This window comes from Homo sapiens, chromosome 14 (assembly GCF_000001405.40).
Source record: "Homo sapiens chromosome 14, GRCh38.p14 Primary Assembly".
NCBI classification, from domain to species: domain Eukaryota; kingdom Metazoa; phylum Chordata; class Mammalia; order Primates; family Hominidae; genus Homo; species Homo sapiens.
The window spans coordinates 85,393,383-85,420,074 of NC_000014.9; the positions used below are offsets into that span (position 1 = coordinate 85,393,383).

The window sequence follows — 26,692 nt, forward strand, 5'->3', positions numbered from 1 at the left end:
CAGAACTTCAAATCCTGTGTCTTTGCTGCTAACCTCTCCCACTCTCTACCCTACTTATAGTGCTGATTAGGTGGCTTTTCTCTCCTAGTATCAATATGCCACTGAAAGGGAGATTGCTTTCTTGTCGAATGCTTCTTTTGTTAGTTACACTTTGCCCTGGAGAAATTCTCCCTTTGGAATTTTGCAAGGGATAAAAGCAAGCCCTACATAACGTGATTAATGGTTCTGAAAACCGTTTTCCTTTTAAACTGCTTTGTGGATCATATATGCTTTAGAATTATTTATTTTTATTTTTGTTTGACTTGTTTTGCTTCCTCCTTCCTCCAACACAGATTGCTTAGTGGGGGCCTACAGGGTACAGATTTAATTTTAAAAGTGTATTTAAAGATATAATTTAAATACAGTTGCCAGCACGGGTCTGGCTGAGTTGTCCTTCTTTCAATGTAGAACCTCCAGGAATGTCCGTTGTGCATGACATGAGGGCAGTTTCACTGACAGTTTATGCAGGCAGGGGGAGGTAAGCTCATATAACCTTGTTCCTTACGGAGGTGTAGAAAATCTGTAGCATGATGTAATGGTAAGCACTTGATGTTTTCTTCAGATTTTTCCTCTCAAAAGGAACAGTTCTTACTGGAAAACTGTTCCAAACAGATGTTCATAACTCTAGCGCTGGTGTTGCTTACCCTTAGAGTATGGTAGGTCTTTGAACGTTCTTCACAGGGTGCCTTATTCAAGACTCATGACTTTGTGTGCAACATTTATGGTCACATTACAATAAGACTATTTATGATACTATGAGTTTTGACGTTACTCACGGGGTCCTCAAGTCAGAGAGTGATTAATATTTCAAGCTGTCTTTGAGCTACACACTTTTTTCTTAATATTTTCCTCCTTTTAAATAGCATGCAAAGCAATTAAGAGACCAAATAAAACCTTAAAATGTGAAAAGGTTAAAAATGAGCAGAAATAGTCACCATTTCCATGTTATGATATACAAATATATCAACAAATGTCTAGGTGTATGTTCGAATAAATATTTTAAAAGTCATGTGTAGATTTACTTAGCTTAAAAATGGAAACCAGGAATATGAAAAAGGAGAAGACATTTAAGAAGACAAATGATTACAAAATGGTATCCATTGATCCTCTGTGAAATGTTTGTTTGTTTGTTTGTTTGTTTGTTTGTTTTGAGACGGAGTCTCACTCTGTCGCCCAGGATGGAGTGCAGTGGCGCAGTCTTGGCTCACTGCAACCTCCGTCTCCCGGGTTCAAGCAATTCTCCTGCCTCAGCCTCCCGAATAGCTGGGATTACAGGCTTGCGCCACCACGCCCAACTAATTTTTGTATTTTTAGTGGAGACGGGGTTTCACTATGTTGGCCAGGCTGGTCTTGAACTCCTGACCTCAAATGGTCTGCCTGTCTTGGCCTCCCAAAGTGCTGGGATTACAGGCATGAGCCACCGCACCTGGCCCGAAATATGTTTTTTATGCAATTGTATTATGCTCAGTGAGAAAAAGAATATTCTGACTTGAACATATGCAAAGTCAAAACTGTGGAAAGGAACTAACTACAGGGCTATTGGTTGTATTTTTTTTTTTGAAAATTACTTGAATAATTGTTGATTCCAGAGGCTTTAGTAAAGATTATATTGAGACAGAAACACAGTTTAAATCAAGCAATCGGTTATCTAGGGATGCGCCTACACAGTGAATGTATCAAACAGCAGCTTAAATTGCAAGACTGGAGTAAGTACATGCAACTGGAAGCAGCAGGGATAGGAGTGAGTACATGCAACTGGAAGCAAGGATAAGGGCTACTTGATTTCTAGTATGGTTGTTTAGGCACTTCTGGATGACTAATAAGAATTTCTTTTTCCTTTTAACTTTTATTTTAACTTAAAGGGTACATGTCCAGGTTTGTTACATAGGTAAACTCGAGTCACGGGGGTTTCTTGTACAGATTATTTCATCACCCAGGTATTAAGCCTACTACCTGTTAGTTATTCTTCCTGTTCTTCTCCCTGCTCCCACCCTCTACCTTCCAAAAGGCCCCAGTGTGTGTTGTTCCCCTCCACTTGTCCATGTGTTCTCATCACTTGGCTCTCACTTATAAGGGAGAACTTCCCGTGTTTGGTTTTCTGTTCCTGCATTAGTTTGCTAAGGTTGACCTCTAGCTCCAACTAAGTCCCTGCAGAGGACATGATCTTGTTCTTTCTTTGTGGCGTAGTATTCCATGGTGTATATGAACCACAATTTCTTTATCTAGTCTATCGTTGATGAGCATTTAGGTTGATTCCATGTCTTTGCTCTTGTGAATACTGCTTCAACAAACATATGCGTGCATGTGTTTTTACAAGGCCTCCGTACTCACAATCAAATATAACCTCTGACTCCTTGAGTCTCTGGGAACACACTCAAGACAGAGGAGAAGGGAGCAAAAAGAGAGAACTGGTGGGAGGGGGATAAGGATTGTAAAACTAACTGTTGGGTACTATGCTCGCCAGCGGAATGACAGGAACATTCATATCCAAACCTCGGCATCATATATATATATATATATCCATATAACAAACCTGCGCAAGGACCCACTGAATCTAAAATAAAAGTTGAAATTACTTAAAAAAAAAAAAAGAGAGAGGAAGGGAGAGGGAGGGAGGGAGGAAGGGAGCAAGAAAGAATACAGTGCGCAGTTTAGCATGAATCACGCTACAAAGCAGACAAATTTGTGTCACATAATGTTCATGATACCCATGGAAGCAGATAATGTTTTTGTTACGAATTCACTGATGAAGTCAGTGAGGTTCTAACAGGTTAAGAACCATGTCCATGTTACACACATAAAATGCTGTACCAGCTGGTCTGTTGGAATCCAAAGCCCACGTGCTGAACTTCGCTGGCAGCCTTTGACTTAAAATTGGAGGAGCGTAAGGAGAAGTTCTGAACATGAAGTGTGGGACTAAACGGATGGTGGACTGCAGGGTTGGACAAAGAGAACAGGTTGACATAGTATCTCCAAGGTCAGTAGGCAAGAGGGTGTTTACAAAGGTCTTCAAGGGAGGCAGCTGTGGCCAATAAAAAGGGAATTTCAGAGAGAATCATGGGAACCTAGGGTGCTGTGAAAGATTAAAAGACAGAGGAGTCCCACAGAGAGAATTAATGAAAGACCACAAGCACAGTGGGAAGGCCAGGTAGCAAGGACCCTGCTCAGGGTTCAAGGTCAATAGAGTAATGATATGAGCAGCATCAGGGGGTCCTCACATGTGACAAACCCCAGTAAGAGAAATGGTGTTTATTTCATCACCTAGAAAAACACTGTCCGAGGAACTTTAGTTTTAAGGAAAATGTTCTGTATTTATGCTTCCTAATGCAGAAACCACTAGCCACATACGTACTCGAAGTGTGGCTACTGCAATTGAGAACCTGACTTCTTAATTAAATTGAAATATAAATAGCCACATGGAGCTCGTGGCTACCGTGTTGGGCAGCAGAGACGAGAGCTGTAGGATTACGGGGAGAGGCAAAATATAGATTGACCTATAACTGACATCAGATAGTAAGACAGCATTGATATCAAAACAGAGACTGTTAGGCCTTTTAGCACCTTGTCAGGAACTCGGGTGAGAGCTGGATAGTGCTTTGCCTAAAAGCAGCCATTCCAGGCCTTTTTTCTGCTCTCACTGAAAGCAAAGAAAATTCTTCTTTCTTTCTTATCAGGAATCTGGCTTCATATATTCTCTTTCATGTATGTTCAAGCTCATTTTCCTCTTCCCTTGCAAGCATGGTTATGTCTCTCCCACACTAAAAACAACAAAAATTACCAATAATAATAATAACGGAAATACTTCCTCAGCCTTCCTTATCCCTCCAGACACACTTGTCCCTCCCTCCTCCCTCACATTGCCAAGCTTCCTGAAATAGCACCACATAGAAAGGATTTTCACATCTTTGTCCTTCATTCATTCTCAGCCTACTGGTCATGATCCTCTTGCTGAAAATAGGCTCACTTCACTGAAAATATTAACGTTGACAAATCCAAAGACACTCCTAATTTTTAACCTTAGTTGAATCATGTGTGTGCATTTGCCCATGTTAAACAGTCTCAGAAAATCTTTTCTCCATTGGCTTCAATAACATAATTCTCTCTAGGCCTTTTTGTCCATTCTTTTGGTCTCCATATTTCATCCTTTTTTCTTTGCCAATTTATTTATCTACTTTTAAATGATGAGGCTCCATAAGGCTTTTCTTAAAGCTTTGGTTTTCTCCCACCAAAAATATTTCCTGGTCCTTCTCATACATTAGAAAAATCTCTCAGGAGGCCGAGGCAGGCGAATCACAAGGTCAGGAGATCAAGACCATCCTGGCTAACACAGTGAAACCCCATCTCTACTAAAAATACAAAAAATTAGCCGGGCGTGGTGCCACATACCATGTAGTCTCAGCTACTCGGGGAGGCGGAGCTTGCAGTGAACCAAGATCGCACCACTGCACTCCAGCCTGGGTGACAGAGCGAGACTCCATCTCAAAAAAAAAAAAAAAGAAAAAAAAGATACTATTAAGTTTGTATCACCCACTGGTCCAGGCATTTTATAGGCATTAATTTATTCACTGTTGATAACAGGGTTATACCAGATACTGCTATTGTCTTCATTTTAAAGGTAACACTGAGACTCAGAGAAGCTAAACAATTTGCTCAAGGCTGAACAGTTGCTAAGTTATGAGGATGGAGATTGAATTTAAGCACTGTAGCTCTAGGGTCCATGTTCTCACCTTCTATATGATGCTGGCTGTATGATGACTCCATTTGTTGCTCATTCCATTTTTCTACAGCTCTCATTGAAGCACATTGATTAGTCCATGCATGTCCATCCTGATAACCCAATATGCAGCAAAAATGCTTTTGATGAGCACGTCTGCTGTCTGCCTTTGTGAATGTTCCAGTGCTTGCTCAACCTGAACAAGAACAAAACGGAGCTATTCTCTCCCAGCCCAACCCACCCTTCTGTATTAGGTTATAAGCATCACCAGCTACCTGAGAGGCCAGGTGAGGATCCAGGTGTTCATTCTGGACTTTCTTTCCACATTTCACACCATCTTATCTTTTGCATCCCCCGTTTCTTGGCATAGTTCAGGGCTGTATCATTTCTTGGTAGAATAACTCGCATACACTACTATTTGGCCAACATGTCCTAAGTGCACCCAAGCCCCCCAAAACACTCACTCATATAAACAATCTGCCCTTAAAACTCTTGCTAGCTTCATGTTTCTAAAATGCAAAATAGAATTAACTTTTATCTTATTTAAAATTATTTAATAGCTTCCCATTGGACAATTTTAAAAACTCTCAAATGCTTTAGCATGGCAAGTGAACTTCACACATACCTTCCTTGCCTACCCATCCAGCCTTGTCTCTCGACTCATACCTGGCTGTGGCTTCTTTAGCTTCCACTTTCAGCTCTCTAAAAACTATGCTGCTTCCGTCTCTTCCATCTTCATATTTGTTGTTCCTCTGCCTAGAAGCACCTTGCCTCTTTCACGCACACTTTGCCTCACTCAGGACCTACTAAGACTTTGTCTTCTGTGTTCCCCTCATGCCTTATATTTTAAAGACTTAACTATTATGTTTCAGTTATGCAGTTCCTCTTTTCCTCACTACTTTAAGAAGTGGGACTGTGTAGCATTTTTTTTTCCTCTTGACACTGCATTTTATTGCTTGGATCCTCAGTGAATGTTTGAATGAATGAATGAATGGCTGAATGAATGTCATTTCCCCTTCTTCCATGAGCACTTTGGCTATATATGAGAATGGAGAGGAGTCTCTTGGAAACTGACAACAAGAAATTTGGAATATTTCCTCCATTCCACCCCTTCTATCAGCCCTGAAACTCTCCTCTCTAGGCATGGTTTTTCTCACATTTTGAGGAGGGAAATGCCACTCTGGAGATTCTTTCCCTTGGGTAAAATGCTGTTGGCAAGTCTCCTAGAGCAGCAGGGTGGGGCTCTGGGGAGAGGAGGGACCACACACAAGCAGCAACACTCAGAGATTTTCATTCCTGCTTTATCCTCCATTACTGCACCCACTTCAAGAATGTCCTTAAGTCTGGCAGTAGGTTTGGAGACGTGGAAGCCCCAGAAAATGTATAATTTTGCCCGAAAAATACAGTCTCTTTGCATTTTCTAAAGTACAGTGAGAGTTTAGAAGCTATTTTCTGTTCTTGGGAAGAATGTGGTAGGGAAAAGGTGGGGGCTGTGTTGATCCCCCACAAGTAATGCAAAAAAAATTTTTTAAGGCACATTATATTGCAAAAGTATTGTGTAGCTCCTATGAACAAGGAGAGTAAAGTGATGTAGTTATCTCACGGATTGATGCTCTTCCTAATTATTGAGTAGCAACTATTGCCAAGGCATACCTCTCCTTGTGTGGGCCACATACCTAATGACACCAACTCAGTAATGCTACTACTAATAATAACTACAACAAGAGCTAATATTATGTGCTTACTATTTGCCAGTCATTGTTTAAAATGCTTCACATAACTAAATGCTTAACCCATAACTCAATAAATCGAACAATATATAAAGACCTTTCCAAGGAAATCATCTAATTTTGGCAGTTTTTAAGGTTAATTATTTTATGAATGGCAAAAGTAAGGCCCAGAGTGGTTGATTCCTCAAGTTTCTACAGCTAGTCAGTGTAAAAGCCAAAAATCCTGGCCTATGACCAGCATCTGGGGAGTCAAAAGAACTCCACGGCGTGAGGTTTTCAGTATTGAAAATGCTGTTCTACCTTTGAGGACTCTCCTCATAGAGACTGAATCCCAAATTCTGAAGCCTTATATGACCACAGTTTTTTTACCTATCCACTAATGTGTTCATTGCATAGGTGTGCATGACTACCATTCTATATATAATTATATATAATTTAATTCACAAGTATAGAATATCCCTTAAGCTGCCCCCAAAAAAGGCAATCTTGTCCTAATACGAAATCATCACATAAATAGCAAACATCTCACTGTGCCTGTGTTAGGCTCTGATTTTAAGAAAAGAAGGGGAATCCACACTGCCATCCATTAACCAGTTACAAAGCTCGTACTCTGTAGCTGGTACTGTGTTAGGGCCAAGACAGAGAGATGGGAATAGCACTGCAGCCCTGCTGTCAAGTGTGTTTGGTGTCATGAAAGAATCTGTTTGTGTTCCTAGACTGAGCTATATTTTCCATTGATTGTCATTTTTGTGTGCTTCTTAAATAGTAAGATTATTTTTCTTCACCTTATCTTTGTAAGAAGCACAAGCCATAAATACTCCTAAAAAAATGGAAAAGAAAGTGATAAAGAGTTGAGCAGATATAGGCATAAGAAACTAATGGTGAAGAAAAGAAAGAACATCAACTGCAAATATAGGAAGTGTCTGGAGAAACCTAAAGGCAGTTGAAGAAGAAGAGAGTATATTGGGGTCATACATGGGCCAGCCAGGTTTCTTTGGAGACAACTGTTTACAGTGATGTCCAATTCCTACTTGGATGATCAAGCCAAAACTGGTATGTATCATATCTCTGGAGGAATGTGAAAGGGTGATGTCTTTAGCACCTAAGCCAGGGAACACCTGGGATATTTAGTCGAGTAATTGGATGTAACTTAACTAGAAATAACTTTCGGATTCTTTCTCAGAAGACCATTAAGAGAATCAGGCGTTATACTTTGAGAAATGTGACCATGCATCAAATCTACAACCTGAAAGAAGTCAAGACATTTTGAGAAAGCAAAGATAATTGCAGGAAGGAGCACTGGAAATAAGATAAAATTAAATTTAGAAAGTGTTTTCTCAAGTGGATTTGTTTGTTTGCCCATTCTGAATAATGAGCATGCAAAAGATTAGACAAGTGTACTGTGGGCTTTGGTGAAGGCAAAGAAGGCTGAGGACTACAGGAAAGCCGGGCACTCAGAGCAGAGGTAAGGGGAGAGGGAGGGAGATGCTTGTAAATGAAGGCAAAACCACATATTATAGAGGCTCACAATCAATTAAATATTTGAGTTTTATATTCACATGAAAACAAACAAAATGTCAGAGGTCTGTTGCCTGATCAGCTTTGGAAGCTTCAAATCGAAAATGGGCAAGGATTTTATGCTCTGCATTCAATTACTGAGTAGAACTCATTTTGACCCTCAAAACAAACAGGATATTTCACTGAGATCCAGAGAGCAGAGAGGAAAGGCTCTTGAATTCCATCTGATATTACACTCAGTTTTCAGCTCTGTAATTCTCTCCACCAAACAAAACAGCCAGCTGTGTCAGTGTCATCCAAAATCTGAAGGCCTTTCCAGCTAGAAGCCTCAGGGGAAAAAAAGAAATTCTATACTAAAAAATTAGTTTATTTTCTATGTAAATAGAATTCAGGTTAGAGGAAAAAGTTCCTTGTTTTTCATTTGTTTATAGACTCCTAATCAATTAAAATATGTATGAATCATTTTCTAGTGGAATTCATATGAGAAAGTGGAGCAAAGGGATGCATTTCAGGTATGGGAGATGAGAACAAAGGAAAGGGGGATGAAGAGTAGAAAGGGAAGAAAAGAAAGAAAGAGAGGAGGAAAAAGAATAAAGAGGGAGGGAAAAGAAGGGAAAGAAAGGAGAAAACTGGGAGGCAGTTTCCTCTTTCTGCTGAGATATTTGACATACATTATCAAATGTAGCCTCACAACTCTTCTGTGAGATAGATTGTACAATTAGACCCAGATTAGAGAGAGGAAAGCAAAGCTTTGAGAAGTTCTGTAAGCCCAGTGTCTCATATTTAGCAAGAATTGGAGCCAGACATCCACCCAAGTCTATCTGCCACCAAATCCCATGCTTGCGAGGTCAGCCTAGGATGGAGAGGGGGTGATATTCAAATTAGCTTCATCTATGTCCCATCTACCTGAGATAGATGTGTGGTTACCAAACATTGAGCATGCATCGTGCCCAAAGAAGTGACTTTCTTAGTGGGGTAAAATTCGGAAAAACCGATTTTGGCCAAGTATTTTATACACTATATGTAAATAGAGTAAAACATGATTAAAAACAAAATATCCTCTTTTTACCAAATCCCACTCAAGTCTCTACTTAAAATAATCCATTCATTGGAATTCTCACATAAAGAGATGAGAAATGTATAGGATATTGAGGAGGTAAGACAAAGAAGGAAGAAATTTTTAGGGGACAGAATATCACCTTCTAACTAAAAATGGAAAACAGAAAGACTGCATTTCCAGTGGCTTCCTAGACAGGAGTCTATGTTTCCCACTATTTGAGAATGATTAATGAATTGACCTCCTGTGTGCCACTTTGAAAACACACCAAATGTGCTTAGTTTGGCAGAGTAGTAGAGGAGGAACTATTCACACAGAACAAAAAAGGCTGCTGTTTGCCAGTAGCTATTAACTCGCGGCTATATCAACACTTGCGCAGTTAACAATAATCTTATCCAAGAGTCTATTCTTGTAGAACCTCGAGGGTTGAAGAAATATTTTATTGGCAGCGTCCCTAATCTTATAAGTAGCAATATGTTTTGACAAAATGAAACCACACAATTCTCACCTAGTCTTGGGTTTACTTTCTTATGAGAGCATCTGAGGCTGAAAATAAAAAGCATTCCCAAACCCCTGCCACCTTCCCCTGCCTTCCGCAAAAAAAAAAAAAAAAAAAAAAAAAAAATATTGGCTTTACACTCAAACCTTGAGGTTCCAATTTCTTTTAAATTTTTTAGTACTCACAGTTTCTCTAAACTTATACCTTCTAGGCTTTCGAATCTAACCACCCTACATGGATGCATTTTCTTAACCTATGTGCACAAGAACACTTCAAGATTTTGTGATCAGCTACTGTTGAAATATCTCCTCTTGCTGTCATATGCTGGCTCTTAGTTTTGGGAGAAACTACAAACCTCTACTTAAATTGAGAGTTTTTAGGTATTGAAATAGTGCCCACAGCAGGAAAAGAAAAAAATTGGGTGTAGTGGCAAACTAAATTTGTAACAGAAAGTGGAAAAAAATAGCCTAGAGCACACATAGAAAAGTTCTACTGGGAATTAATCATTTCTATCCATTGGGTCCAGTATGGAGTATAAAGAAAGGAAGATAAGTGTTATGAACAGACAGCAGTGAGTCCTCAGCAATAAGTTGTTACATGAGCCTAGCAAATTGTTGACTCTATCTTGTGATCTATCTCCATAGCTCCATGTTCTACTTCTTGAGACTTTTGTTCCACAGACTTATTGAAAAAAAAAATCCACTGAGTGTTTATAATTTGCTGAGAACTCTTCTAGATACTGGAGCTACAAAATAGATTGAAACTGGTTCCCTACCCTCAAGTTCCCTCCCCAGCTCATGTCCTCTGAGTGGAGATAAGGGCAGCGTATGAATGAGTGATTTGAGAAGAGTGGGAAGATGATACAAGTCCCCTGCACAAAAGAGATGCTGGCAATGGCAAGTTTGTACCTCATAAATTATAGTCCCTCAACAATATTGTTGCCATCATCTTCATCCTGACATGTGGTTTGGTGGCATAACATTGGCAGACAATTACGTTGCAGGAGACCTGCCTGCATGACCCCACTATTATTTTAATGTAGGGGCTTCTCATGAATACCTTTTAAAAATAAATAAATAAATAACAGAAGTGCAAGTTCAGGGTAATGGTGTTGGTGGCCTAGTCCTTGTTCTACTTCATTAATTGTCCATAGTAATTTCCACATCTGTTTGGTTTTTTTTTTTCACTTTTCCAGTAAGTGAATTGTATATGATTCTCTTTAAGATTCACTCAGCTTATAATTACTTGATTCATCAAAGACAAGCTCATAAATTCACTTTTCTTCAAGCAATACTTTTTCTGAACATTTACTATTTGTACTGCACTCATCTAGATATTCAGAACATAAAGTCACATGTAAGACATGCTCCTTTCCCTGAAGTTGCTGAAAATCCAGTGGGAGATATGGCAAATCCATAAAAGAGGTATAACCAAATTAGGCTATGAGTACTTACATAAACAAAAGGAGTAATTAATTCTGATGGGGGAAATGGAAAACATTTCCCAAATGTAACACTTAAGTTGAATATTAAAGAGGTAGAAGTGCACCAGGCAAAAAAACAAAACAAAAAAGTTATGCTCAACTGATGGAACTTCATGAGTAAAATATTTGGCGGGAAATTAACAATACCTAAAACTTACTGAGCATTTATTAAGTGCTAAAAGTTTCCTATGTATTAACTCTCTTAAATCATTATCATAACTGTAGAAGGTAGGAACCAACATCTCCAGTATAGAAATGAAATACCCAAGCCACAGAGAGGTCAGGTAGTTTATCCAAGATAACAGAGCTAACAAAGATGGAAATTTGACACCAAACAGTCTGAGTCCATCTGTACTTGAAACCCCCAGCTCATACATGTCTAGGAACAGGGGGCAGTCTAATATGGCTAAAATATAAAGTGGGATATAGAGGAGGATAAAATAAGGAGAGGATAGTGAAGCCAGCCTGTAAGGGCCTTGAATGCTGTGCTAAGAAACATGGACATTATCATACAGTAGGAGGAAGTGGGTTGGAAATAAGAAAAACTACAGTGAAAAAAGATATGACAAGTGAAAGCAACAGAAGTTGTCATTGCTAAGGAGACATGGGGACAACAGGAAGTGATGGGGACTGTAGTGACATAGAGAAGCCTTACATTTGCAGGAGTATGTGGGGACAGCAAATCAGTCCAAAGGGAGAAATGTCAACCTACCATTCATTGCTGGTTGCTCTTTCTCAAGAAAAACAGTAAATATCATAAGTTGATTCTACAAATTATTAAATGTTGACCAATCAAAAAAATTTTAGACCGTGGACTAAACAAAATATGCCTGCTGGCACCCAGATTGAAAGGAGAGACATCTGTGCTTTTAGAAATCATTTCTTCTATTTTTTTTAACCTGGGAAGCAATGTAAGCTTATTAGTATTGTAGGAAGATAAATCCAGTGGTATTATAGAAAGTTGAATTGAGAGGGAAGGGCCAGTGAGAGATTATTGCAGTAGGAAAAAGATGACAAAGGCTTGAACTAGTGGCAGTGGGAAAATCAAGGCAGGAAAGGGTTTTCAGAGGATAATTGATCTGTTAAATGTGGCTGTGGATGAGAAAGAATGTATCAACAATAACCAGGACTGTCTAGCTCTGGTGATTAGAAGGAAGGTAATGTATTGATGGAGACACAAGACATAAAAGGAAGAGCACATATCTGGAGGAAAAGAGTACGTTCAATTTGAAAAGTGTTGAAATAGGGTTTAGGAAGCATTCGAATAGTATCCAGCTCTTCTTGGCTTTTCTATTGAAAAGAATACTCAATCATCAGATTAAGTCAGATCTGATTCACTGATCACAACTGCTTCCTCGAAAACGCTAAGAATTTAAAGCATTGCTAAAAACTGTTTATTCTTGTGAGATTTAAGCACAAAATCAATTATCAACAAGAATTAGTAACAAGAGGATTGCAAACTGTATTCCTTTTAAAAAACTTGCTCCTCCTTACTTTCCTTTGAGTTTTGATTATGTTCTTCTGCAGGTATTTGTCTCCATTACCATGGGCAGCAAATCTGTCAAGGGAAATAGTGTTTGGTTTAGAATTTTTTTTTTCAAAAAATCATCTTTGAAACTACTTGTAGTTTTGCATTAGTTTTCCTATATGTATACAATCAGGTTTCTAGGAGTTTCTATTATTTAATAATCATAATGTACATTTAGTCCTTATTAGTAACCATAAAGCTTTTGTTCCATTAATCCATTTTAAATGACTTTGTAATCAAATATTGTATAACCATAGATCTATGAATATTAATTAGAGACTGAATTAACTAATTTTTAGTTCCTTCTGATTTCTGTGGATTTTGATTTGATGAATTCTTTGGGGTAAGGAAAAATGGTATACATGGGTTATAAGAGGTTTAGGAGTCAGTTAAATGGAGGTGTCTAATCCCACAGATTGTATTACACATGCATATGTCTTTGGTTTGCCAGCATGATGTATGATTTTTTAAAGGAGATACAACTTCTCTAATGGGAAACTTCACATGCAAAATACTTGGATTTCTAATTGCCTTGACTAATCAAGATTTCTGCCAAGGGTGTGTTGAGGGTGTGTGTGTGTGTAAACCACCCCCTCTTCTTGTAAACAAGGCTCAACCTATTCTAAAAGAAATTAGAGTATTAGAGTCATATGAACCGAAACATATGTTGAGATCAGTGGAAAATAAGTAAGTAATGTCTTAGGATGAGTATATATGTATACCTATGAAGACATGTGTATTTTAGTTCATTCAGCAAACACTTATACTCATCCCACTTGAAAGACATTGTGCTAGCTGGTGCAGAGAAACTCTAGGGAAAAGACAGTTTATGACTATAAGCAACACACAATCTGAGGACACATAAATAATTAAGTTTAATATGAAGCAAAAACTGCCAAAAGAGAAGCAGAAGGTAAATGTTATTAGAGGACTCCAATAATTTTAAAGTTGATGAGCGACCAAAGAAAGTCTTGTTAACAAAGTGTGGTCTTCTATTATCTTTCTACCTTGTTGAGCTATTTCTCGTTGACCTAGCCAACATAAAAACATAAGACTTTTCTGAATCCTTAAACTTTTACACTTTAGCACAATTCCTTTTAAAGAAGCAGCTCCAGCCTCTGATCAATAAAACTAGAAGAAGCCATTCTAAAATTAATTCTTAAATAATATCAAACACTATGCTATGGAACAGTATTTCTATTCTCAAAGGTAAGAGTGTTGGGGAAATATTCATTATTTTCGCAGATCTTGAATTCCAAGAACAGTTTGTGTCTCATAAAGTTTGTTCTTTAGGACTGCTATGTCACTCACCCTGACTGGTACATGGGAGTCCTAACACACTCATAGATATTAATGGGATACCTTTCCTTCCTACGCTCTAAACTGCACTGTATATGGCTGTAGTTAAATTAACATTCAGCCATGACTACTTCAGCCTCCTTTTATAACCACATCATTAATAGAGCTCAGTGTGCATAAGGCTGCTCCAAAAGCTCATGTCCTTTGTGTGACTCTGTATTCTTTTACTGAGACCAGATAGACACTTACTAGGAAGGCACTACTGGGAAGCTGGGTAGTGGCCACGGTAGGGAGGGATCCTGTAAATTTGTCTTGACCCTTGGTTGCCTGTAGTATGCTCGATCTTTTGTTGCCTGCAGTATGCTCACCCTTTGACCACTTAGAGCAAGATCTTCAGGAGTTGGCATTGTCCTATAAAATGGAAAGATGCGATGTTTTGCTTCTGTAAAGAATAGACATGAGGGATCCTCAAATACCTTGAGATAATAACACACATATTTTTCAAAACAAAATATATTTTTACAGATGAGGACACAAATGGCATTTAGGTGACTCTCTCAAGGTCACATAGTGAGTGGATTAAAAACTTCAATTCAAATTTCAGGGATCCTGAGTTAAAGCCTAGTGATCTTTTCTTATTCTTGTTCTTTCAGTGTTTTATTAAATATGCAAATATTAACCTACTCAATCCTCATAAAAACTCAGTGGTGAACTGACTGTTGGCCTGGCAGATGAGAAGTTTTACTCCCCCACTCTCCAGTGAAACTGGTGAAAAGTATTTTTAAAGGCAAGTATTTAAAATCTCTGATGCAGATAATTTTATTTCTATTTTATATTAATAAGCAAAGAACTGAGGCATAGAATGGTTAAGTAAATTGCATAAGGTCATGTGGAAAAGCTGAGATTCGAACCTAGTTGGTTGGTTCTAGAGCACAACCTCAGGGTGAGAATGGAGATGTAGTAGGCACCATATTCCTAATCATGTTATTCTAGAGGAAAAATGGTATCCATGGGATATAACAGGTTTAGGAGTCAGTTAAATGGAGGTATCTAATTCCACAGATTGTATTACACATACAGATGTCTTTGGTTTGCCAGCATGACGTATAATTTTTTTAAGGAGATACAACCTTTCTAATGGGAAACATCACACGCAAAATACTTGGATTTCTAATTGCCTTGACTGATTAAGAACTCTGGCAAATCCTGACCCCTCCTCATGAGCACGTGGCAGCTCTCAGCTGGAGAAGAAGGGCAGCAGCACCACTTGGATGAATGTGTTCATCAATGTGTGCTACCAGGCCTGTATCATAGTATCCAAATGATTTCTCTAGGGCTTTAATTTCATGTCTTGCCCCACACTAAAATGATGCCTAAATAAAGCTTATTCTCGGAGGAAGATTTATTCCTGGCAGGGGTGGGTGGTGGGTTGGCGGGGCAGACTTTGGAGTCAGACTAGCTGGTTGAAAACTAGATCTGCCTCTTACTCCTTGTGTGACTCTCAGCAAACTAAACCCTAACTTGGATAGCTTCTGCAAAATTCAGTTTTGTCCCTTATAAAATGAAAGGCTAACAGTAGCTGAGTCAGAGAATTCTGCTAGGTAAAACACATAGCAGAGGGCCTGGTATATAGAAGGCTTTTCATAAATAATATTAAGCACTTCCTAAACATTATTAAGCACTGCTTAATATTAGCTGCTAAGGTGTTATTGTACCTTTTGTAATTTTTGTGATGAAAGGGAAGTGTTTATGAAAATTCCTAAAAGCACATGATAATAAAATTGTACACAACGAAAATATTGAGTCCTAGAATAAATTGATATGGAAAATTATTCAAAGTAGCTTTAGGTAGAGATGAGGAGATGATTAAAAATTAGCAGTTTAAGTCATAATGGTGAAAGAAGAATAAAATACAAGTAAACGAAATATCTAGTATGATCAAGATCTGTAGAAATAAAAAGAAGAAAAAGCAAGGTTTTTGCAGAAGGAAAGAGAATGTGTACATTGGAACAGAAATTGGGGGGATGTTTATAGAGGAAGAAGAAAATAAATAAGGGAAAGGACAAAATTATCACTAAATAAATAAAAGGAAACTCCTCCAAAAGTCCAAAATAAATGAAACTCAAATGCAAAAGAGAAAAACAGGAAGAAATATTGTGTTTCCATAAGTCTGTGGATTATGAGGAATCATGAAAAGGAAAAAAGAGGTTTGGCACAAAACCTTGAAGGATAAATACGAGCACATCACAATTGAAAAGAAGATAATGAAAACAGATAATTAAAATGCAGAAGCTAGAGTTACAGCCTTTGGAACTCAAACTAAATAAACTTGTTTTATTGTCAGTCTGGAAATTGGGAAATAGCTGTACTGAGAGTGAGTATATCTGCAACCATCACATTAGCTGACAGGGCATGTAAACATTTCAGAGGTAAATGAACTAACCCTGAGATGGATGATTATGGATGTCAATTGTGGAAAGCGAGAGATTTGATTTTATAGCAAATGCTGCAGCCCCCTCTTCCTCTCAGACAATGGCACCAAGAAATACAAATGGATAGGTTACTTAAGGATATGTCTCCCTTCCTTAAAGAAGAAAAATGGCTGCATTTAAAGAGAATATAAGATTTACTTAGAAAAAAAAGTCGAGAGGACTAAAAATAAATAAAACTAAACAAAGGATGCAAATATATAGAACCAATCTAAAACAAATACAGAATTTAAAGTGTTGACATGTATATACATGCAGAAAGGCTGAAAAATTACTTCTAAAAGATGAGTCACAGGACTGTGAGGGTTTATGTGTAAGAGAAAAAGAAAAGTTCAACTTTTCAAATCATTAATATCTTCCCTAAAAGCTGCATATATTGGAAAATATACTTGGAAGATAACCTTATTCCTACAGAACAGGAAGATGATTCAACTTCTAGAAGAAATATCCAAGGTGTGAAAAATTTTCTTCCTTTGTCAGGACATCAGAGTCCATCGAGAAAGTTCTAGAGGAAGCACTCTGAGAAGAAGAAGTGAAGCTCAAACAATTCATAGGCTGAAGATATTTTTACTTTCAGATACATTTAATGAGAGCAGTAGGGGGAAAACAAGGATGAGAAATTACCGCATAAATCAGAGAGCAAAATGAGGGCCATTTGTATTGACACAGTCAAACTGAAAAAAAGAAAAAGAGGAGGGTAAGGCAAAAATGAAGGCGCATGCTACAAACATCTTACTGTGTTCATGAAGAGACGAGAGGTTGATGGGTTCAGAGTGCATATGGAGGGCAAAAAAAAAAAAAGATATGGAAAAAGAAATTGGATAACTTAACTGTTTCAATTTTAAGAAAAGGCCTTTGAAGAAAATTATACGGTTTCCCAACAGAAAAGAAGCCGAAGATGAAAAATCCAGTGATTCAATGTGAGACCTCACTCCACTACCTGGAGACCGGATAATCAGTGAGTTGAAAAAGAGAGGTGTCCTCAGTCCCAGTGGTCTGACCCTAAACTGTATATCTTATTTTAGCTAAAAAATCATAAGTAAAAATGAAATAACTAACACAATAAAAGAATCTTGTGATCGTATTTTTAAAGGATGTTTGAGAAGGTATGAAGAACTAGAAGTGACAAACATCACTATCCTGATAAAACTGGTTTTCCAGGAAAAGATGCTAGTCTGACAAGGGGCAGGATGTGGCCCATGCAGTCCTCGGCCACTAAGCTATTTAGTGGATCGTATTCTGGTATCATGACAAAGAACATAGCTAAGGCTATTTTATACCATTTAGGTCAAGAAAAACTTGCAAGGAGATGGTTTGTTAGATAAGTTGGGAACACATACGAATGTGTTATATGTCAGGTCTAGAGCCATCACCATAGGAATATGAAAAATAAATTAAAATGATAAGGGACTGAGGTGAAGCTGTTTGTTATGTACTTGCATATGACACCTTCAGATTTTTTCCAAAGAAAAAACATGTTCGATTTGAAAGAAAGTAAATGTAAAGATGAAAAAACAAACAAACAAACAAACAAACAAAAGAGTGAGAGAGAGAGACTGATAAGCCGGATGGTCCCAGACATATCTTATGCAGCTGAGATCATCCTGGAAATAATGAAAGCAAAAGAGATGAGGTAATTTAACATATGTGACAAGTACACAACAAAATATGCAGAAAAGTACAATACAATAAAAGGAAAGGAAAGAGACTTACATTGAGACAGCATAAGGTGACAGATGATCTCTATGCCTCTTATTATTCAAATTTCACAACGGAATTATAAAATATGTCATCATCTCCATTTTACACATTAGAGAATTGAGAATTAGGCAGGTTAAGCAACTTGTCCAAGGTCACACAGTAAACAAATAGAGAGGTGAAATTCAATTTGCTGTCTATCTTACTCGTAAGCTTTTATCTACACACCATTGCCTTTCAAAACAAAGACATAAAAGTGAGAAATAAAGGGAAATACAATTATATTGAAGCTGTAGAGTTGAAGGATGGGTGTATTGTCTGTAGAGCATAAGCCTGCAACAAATTTTTTAAAAAGAAGAAGGAAATGTTGGCAGGATTTCCACTTACTTGTCAGTTAAAAGAGAATTCTCTACAATATTATGCAAAGGTACATCTGACCACATGAATACTCAGGAACTGACCTGTGTGTTAAATATCCATGCTAAAAGCATAAAGCTGTAATTTTGAGTGAGAGTTCCTGTTAAGAAAATATCCCTTTCTAAAATAATACATCATTAAAGCAGATTAAGTATTACTTGACTTCTCTTTTGCTGTTATTCAAATTTTATTGCATTTTTTGTTGCTATTCAAATGTTATTGCATTGTACATTATTAAACTAGCAGTTGTCATTAAAGTGTTCCATTAGGAAGCTCTAGGTAGGACAGACCTGCTGTCCTCACTCAAAGATCACTCTGGGGATTGCATACCTGGAAAATGTTCATTCCTTGAGGAATCCTGGAAGGGCACACTGATGGATTTATATTAGGGCACCATACTTCTCTTTCTTCCCGCTGATGAAATAGTGCCCATACTTTGTCTGTAAGGGCACACTGTCTTTTTAATTTCCAGGAGTCATGTAATTGAACAATGAGATTAATAAAATGAAAATTAACATAGAATAAATTTGTAGGCATATTTTATTGAAAAAATTAAGAAATATGTAAAGTTTTGGCATTATTTTTATAAACACTTTTATGCGGCCGGGCACGGTGGCTCACGCCTATAATCCCAGCATTTTGGGAGGCCAAGGTGGGTGGATCACCTTAGGTCAGGAGTTTGAGACCAGCCTGACCAACATGGTAAAACCTTGTCTCTACTGAAAATACAAAAATTAGCTTGGCATTGTGGCAGGCACCTGTAATCCTATCTACTCGGGAGGCTGAGGCATGAGAACTGCTTGAACCCAGGAGGCAGGGGTTGCAGTGAGCAGAGATTGTGCCACTGCTCTCCAGAGTGGGCGACAGAGTGAGACTTTGTTTCAAAAAAAGAAAAATTTATACACACCATAAGATGACATTTTGCATGGAATATATTAATGGATTACAGGTAATATTATAGGTAATATTTTTCTGCATTTCCTGATTTTTTACAGTAAAAATACATGACTTTTTAAAGTTTAATAGTGTGGATTCAAAAGAAATACCCATTTCAATTCACTCTCAGAGATTAAAATTGGGTTAATTATCATGCTGACTCAGGTAAATGTTGTGATTTTTCTAATACAGAATATTTATGCGCCTAACCAGAATGTATAAAAATTTAGATGTCTGTTTACACCCTAAGCAAAAACTGTTGTAAACCAATTAAAATTATAGTCAAATGAATGAAACTTTAAAAGGTTTGTAGATCATGATTTCAATTAGTAATAATAATAACAATTGCTATATTTACTGAGATTACTATAGGCCAGGCACTTTTCTAAGTGTTTCCATCACTTAACATGTTTGAATAATCACGTGATATAGACGCTGTAATCATCCTAGTTTTCACCAGTGGAGGGGCTGAGGCAATGCTAAAACTGTTTTAATGACATTCTTGAAAATTAATTATAAGTTCACAAAAATAATGCCTTGTGAATGTTGAAATAAATCAGCCAAGACTGATGTTTCCATAGATGATCTTAAAAATATTTTTATTATGCATCTACACGTACATTTATTGCAGCACTACTTACAATAGCAGACTTGGAACCAACACAAATGCCCACCAATGACAGACTCAGTAAAGAAAATGTGGCACATATACACCATGGAATACTATGCAGCCATAAAATGAAAGAGTTCATGTCCTTTGCAGGCTCATGGATGAACCTGGAAGCCATCGTTCTCAGTAAACTAACACAGGAACAGAAAACCAGACACCGCATGTGCTCACTCATAAGTGGGAGTTAAACAATGAGAACACATGGACACAGGGAGGGGAACATCACACAATGAGGCCTGTCAGTAGGTGGAGGGGAGGGGGAGGGAGAGCTTTAGGACATCCATGCAGGGCTTAAAACCTAGATGATGGGTTGATGGGTGCAGAAAACCACCATGGCACATGCATGCCTATGTAACAAACCTGAACCTTCTGCACATGTATCCCAGAACTTAAAGTAAAATAATAAATAAATAAATATGTGAAAAAATATATTTTTATTGTGCATCTAAAGGAAGCTAGAAAATATTTCTCCTTTCTTTATTGAAATAAAATAGTTTAGAGCACTCACTGCTCCCAGTCCCCATTCTTCAAAACATGTGCACGGACCACCTGCGTTGGAATCCTCTAGAGAACAGACCCAAATCCCAGAGGCTCAAAAGTCTGCATTGTTAAAATGCTTCCTAGCAATATTTACAACTGCTAAAATGTAATGACTTCTGAGTTTATGTGGGAAATCAGAAACTTTTTTAAAAAAAATCATGAATTTCTGATTTTCACTTTCCAGTTTGACTCAATTGCTTTCTTATGTGTTATTGGAAGTGAGATGTTCACAGCAATTTTTTTTTGCCCCACATATTCTTAGTATTCATCCCAGAATGCCAACGCCTCAACACTTCTTTCTGTACTTCCCCATTTCTCCCCTCCTACATTCTTGCAATTGCTGAGGAAATCGTGACTGAGACAGGAAGTGCATCTGCTCACTTGGGCCTAGTATTTCAGTGTGTGAGTTTACTTTATACCTTCCACATCCCATACCTAGTGGCCATCTACACGGTAGTGGAATCAAATATCCCCATGTGGGAAGATTTATTTGTTTCCTCAAAGGATACAGGAACCAAAAGGGATCCAGTGGGGAAGAAAAGAGACTAGCTGCTATCCTTCACGGAGCCAACATTCTGCTGGGAGAGGCAAGAAAAAATCCACAAATGAATAGAAAAATAAATAAGTATAATAAAAGTTCAGAGAGCGATAAGACCTATGTAGAAAAAATGTTATAAGGGCACAATTACTGAGTGACAGATGGAGTAGAAGATGCTAGATTAGAAAGGAAAGGCCTTCCGGAGGAATTGGCATTTGAGCTGAAATATGAATGAAGTAAGAAAGTGAGCCATCCAAAAACCTGGGGAAGAGTGTTCCAGACAGAGAGAAGAGAAAGTAGAAAGGCCTGAGGCAGGAGTGGGCTTGGCTTGCTCACAGAAAGCATGAAGGTCAGTGAACATGGTTCGAGCAATATGCGTGAGGAGGAGAGTGGGGTGACATGAGCAATAAGGTAAGGATTGATTCACGTGTGCCATTGTAGCCCATGGTGCTTGGATTTCATTCTGAGTGTAATAGAGACCATTGGCCAGTCTTGAGCAAGGGTGAGAAATTATCTAATTCACATTTTAAAATATCGCTATAGCCAGTGTGTAGAGAATTATCAGAGCCACAAAAACCTGTCAGTAGTATGTTACAGTCCAGGTGAGAGAAGACTGTGGCTTAGTTGGAGTATTCACAGAATAGATGTTAAGACGTGGTCAGATTCTGTGTGTACACGTTTGTATTATGCAGTTAGAGACCACTGGAGTTGCTAACAGATGAGGAATGTGGGAGATAAAGAGGAGTCACAGATTTCTACAAGGTTTTGGTCCCATGTATGAAATGTTGACGCTAGGGACTGAGATGGGGAAGGCAGGTTGCAGGAAGACTTACGAGTTCTGCTTTCGATACGTCGAATTTGAGCATCAGTTAGCCGGTCAGTGAAGAGCCAGTAGGTGGTGCAAGTCTGAACTCAGGGGGAGATGGGAGTAGAGATCCAAAAGACAGAGGCATGGGCGTGTAGATGGAATGCAAGTTCATGACTCTGGATGAGATCACCCAGGGAGGAGTGTACACACAAATAGAGAAGAGAAAGATACATGGATTCATGTGGCTCAGTGCCCAGTAGAAAACTTGCTCGAGCCTGTTGTTCTGTGACAACGGGTGTGGGTTTTTAACTGCCTGCAAGTCACAAACAGCGTTGATCTGACAATAGGACCATGATATGTAGAATATAATATGTATGTTATTGTAAATAAATTGGAATATAAATGTTACCTGTTAATGTCATACAACCTCCTTGAAAAGGCAATTATTTTTCTTTTTGTTGCAATAAAAATTTGTGTGAATATATTAACGCCCCACAGTACAGGATTCATTTTTAGCAGTGAGTTTCAGTTTATCCTGAGAGGCAGGCAGATTCACTTATAAAAACTGGTGGTACAACTGGGAAGAAAAACTACCCTTTTGAGTAAGTGCTTTATAAAGGCAATTAAAGCAGAAAGATGTGTTTATGGGCTTTCACCCTTCAAAATGGCTATAGATCAAATTTATTAAAAATGTAATTTGGAAGAGAAGCTGGCAATACAGTAATAAAAAATGAAACTAATTTATCTTCAAAGTGTGTGGCGCTTTTAGCCCTAACCAGCCTAAAGACTTTGTTACCCCACTACAAGTAGGAATTGAAAACTGCTTTTCAATTCCAAAGCATTTTGTACTAGAATGTGGCTGGTGTTTATATGGTCACATGAGAGGTTATTTATTCTAATAGTTCAGGACAGAAAATATAGATATAATTTGTATATTTCTGAAACTTAGTAGGAATAATATTTAGGGTCTACTATAGCAAAGATAGAAAGAATTTGATGATGTAAACAAATCTACTATTAAAACACATGTATCCAAGTGGTTAAAAAAGGCAGTAACTTTTTGTATGTTTAAGTCAATACTTTTTCCTGTTTTGCAAAGACACTTTCTCTTTTTAAATTTTTTTTTTTAAATAAAAGAATATGTTTTAGATTTAGCAGGACACTGGAAATATGAGATGCTTTGAAAATTCAAATGATAGTGTTTCTTAATATTTCTCCTACAAAATTACTTTTTAGAGGAATTCATCTTATTTTAAGAGGAAATGTATAAACTTTTTTTCATTCAAGAATAATGTTCCAGTGGATTGTTTTGTGTAACAAAAAGTATCATTTCCAACAGCATTCAAATTATTTCAAAATCCTATATTGAAACAAATGGAAAGGACCTAAAATTGGATGAAGTTGTTCACCAGTAAGGAAGGGGCAGCTTACAGAGTCAGTTTCACTGTACTGAAATAAAGAATGTCCTGTAGCATTTGTGGGTAGAGAGGAAGAGTCTAGTGAGCAGAGGAAACAGGTGATGAAATAAGGACAATGTGTGGTCACCCCAGTAAAATTAGTTGAACTAACTGTGTAGACAGGAAGGACAATTCTGACTTCACATGGAGGCTCTGCTCATGGTGCCTTATGAGTATGTCTTCTCGGGATCAGCACTGTTGAGAAATGTAAATCCCCACGTTTCCTTTCTTGCCTCTTGCCCACATTCCTAAAAGATTACTCTTAACTGTCAGAGCTAAAGAGTAGATCTTCATCTTCAATTCATTCAACATGAAAAGATTATTATTAATAGCACACTGAGCAAATAATGATTTCAAAGAGTCCTTGTTATTTTATAAGCCTGCCTACAAGGTGATTTCAGAATAAGAAATGTGAAGTGTTTATTTTATCAGAAATTGAATGTGCACTTGCCTTTCAAACTCTGTAACATCGTTGTAGTTAAAATAATTGAATATGGTTAAATGTCTACACTGATTGGATTATCTTGACATTAGCCTGAATTAGCAAGTAAAACAATTATTTTTAAAATCCAGGTAGGTTTTATTATTAATTATAATTGGAAAGCACCATCCACTTAAAGTATTAATAATCACAGTTCTTCAGTGACATTAATTTAGAAAAAATAACAAAAATTTTTGCCTCTTCACCATTTATAGCCCAAACCTCGTGTAAATTAAATGCTGTATTTTTATTTTGTACAGACCGACTCACCCACCCACCCAAACACACACACACACACACAGACTCACACACACACACATTCTCTGTGGTTTTCCTAGTTCAGGAAAGTGATTATGATCAAGCAACAAACAATAGTGGTTCTCCATTTGCTATGCTGACATTAAAATTAGAGAAAGGACATTTTAAAAGCAACAATTACCACCCAAGTCACTATTTGGCTTCATATTTTTAGCTATAAAAATATAAAATCAAATAAGAAGGTTTTATGAGATCGAATGATTTTCCATCTCTGGGCAAAGGAGAGGAATAGCTGATTTGCTTTGCGAATATATTTCACCAGTGTCTATACAGAATGTGACAGTTACCGACTGCACAAACTGTATCCTTTTAGAAATGTAGTAAATTTAAAGCTTTTTATGAGTCTGTGTGAGCCAAAGACACGATAGCTGGAAAAATCACATGTTGAAAAGAAGTTTATTTTTACTTCAGTGTCTGCCTAATAGTGCAAACCTCATCTTTGCCTGGAGGTGGTATATCTATGTAAATGAAGATGGGCTAATAATGTGAATATGAAATGGGATGGATCTTCTGTCTTAATTCGTGTGCTATTTTCACATGAAGAATAAATGAGAACAAGATATTGATTACTATAAATTTTGTTCATTTTAGTATAAATATGTCCAAACACATTTGAGATTAAATGGCAGTTATATTTCTTCATTGAATGTCATTTTCTCCTTCTCTTTGATAGATATTATATAAATAGATGCAGATAGGTCATAGATATAGAGATGTAGATATAGCTAGATCATAGGTAGATAATACACATATATAGATGAATAGATCATAAATCTACCGACCTATCTATAGCTATATATGAAAAGGAAAGAGAGAAAGAGAGAGACCAAGGTCAGCAAATATCTCTGTAAAGGGCCAGATAATTAATATTTAAGGCTTTACTGGCGATATGGTCTCAGTCATAACTACTCAAGTATTTTTGTGTTGTAGCACAAAAGTCTTAAACAATATGTAAATGAATCAGTGCAGCTGTATTCAAATAAAATGTCATTTGTGGACACTGAAAATTCATTTCATATAATTTTTATGTATCATAAAATATTATTTTCTTAAATAATTTCAAAATATAAAAACTATTCTCAGCTTGAGTTCCATACAGAAAGAGGCCGCAGGGCAGATTCGGCATGGGCCATAATTTGCAACCCATAATATATATAATATTCAATTGTTATTTTTAATCTCAAAGAATCCCATGGCTCTTTGTAAAGCTGTCAACTCATTATGATTTGCAAACCTCTCCAGAGTAAATATGAACTCTATACAAGAAAGTGAAAGTTGGTTTTGAAGCAGAGGACTTTGTAAAAGAAAATGCAATCTTATTGCACAAAATGGAACACAGCCAAAACAGAAAAACTCACACCTCTACTTAAAAGAAAGTGCAAAGCAAGACTACATCTCAGCTAAATGTTTCATTATAGGATAAGTTAAGATGTATAATTAGTCAAAATAAGATCCCAGTATTTTCACAGTATTGCAAACACAGTACAATATTAATTTTCACATTAAATTTTATATGCAAACAAATTGGGTTTGTCAAAAAAAGGTGTTGCTTTCCTCACAAAAGCTGTCTTTGATAATAAATAAGAATTCTACTGAAAAACTGAAGCTTTCCATATGTGACAAATTTTGGAAATAAGAATAAAAGAGAAATGTAGCATTCTCTCTTAAATACAGATTTTTACAGATGAAACTTCTTAAACTAATGCTGAAAATTTTGAATGCCCAACTCTATCGACTTATGCAAAAGAATGAATGGATACATAAGCAAGTGGGTTTTTTTGTTTATTTTGTTTTTTAAGATTTCATTTAGCATCCAGGTCACTGATAGGGTGTAGACAATGGAAATAGTTCCCTCTTCCGTTCAATTACAATTCCTAATCATCAGTTGGATTTGTCATGTGGTTCTTTCAAGAGTGTGCTATAAATGTTGCTTCCTATCCAATCTCGATATTCAAAATATTACTAATCTTTGTTTGTTTTTGATGAAGGGGTTCATGCATTTCTGTTAAAGACTTAGACTTGAGAACGGAGCACTAGAACCTACATTCAAAGTGTTTCTCTCATTTCGTTCTTTGCCACTAGGAATTAAGAATGGGTCAATGAAATATACAGCTCCTTTCTGGAATGTACCTGTTCTGCTACAACCATGGATATCCTGACCTTTCTGTGCCTTTCAGGGACAAGGGTAATAGAGGAGTTTCAGACTCCCTCTAAAACAAAACAACAACTGAACAATAAACAACAGAAAAAGAACACAAAAAAAGACGGTGGTACTCTTTCCCCTTTCCTTGCTTTCTCCTGCTACCAAAACAAACAACAAAAACTACATTGTCTCATTGGATGACGAAGCTAAAATTTTGTAGCAAATCTATAGAAGAAAAGAAGTGGAAATCTACTCAAGAGCTACTGTAAAACACTGTATACAAAACAACCACTTTGATTCACATTAAAAAGTGTTATCTGTTTCTTTGAA

The 26,692-nt window shown here is 37.2% G+C and overlaps 1 long non-coding RNA gene across 2 annotated transcripts; it reads left to right on the forward strand.

Moving 5' to 3' along the window:
* The first annotated feature begins 496 nt into the window (after nt 1-496).
* On the forward strand, nt 497-26,692 carry LINC00911 (long intergenic non-protein coding RNA 911). 2 transcript variants are annotated; one of them, NR_102737.1, is made up of 3 exons: nt 497-517; nt 14,521-14,654; nt 26,302-26,692. It is a non-coding gene; the product is annotated as a long intergenic non-protein coding RNA 911 (long non-coding RNA). The 2 variants fall into 2 exon arrangements; NR_102738.1 differs by lacking the exons at nt 497-517; nt 14,521-14,654 and adding an exon at nt 533-577.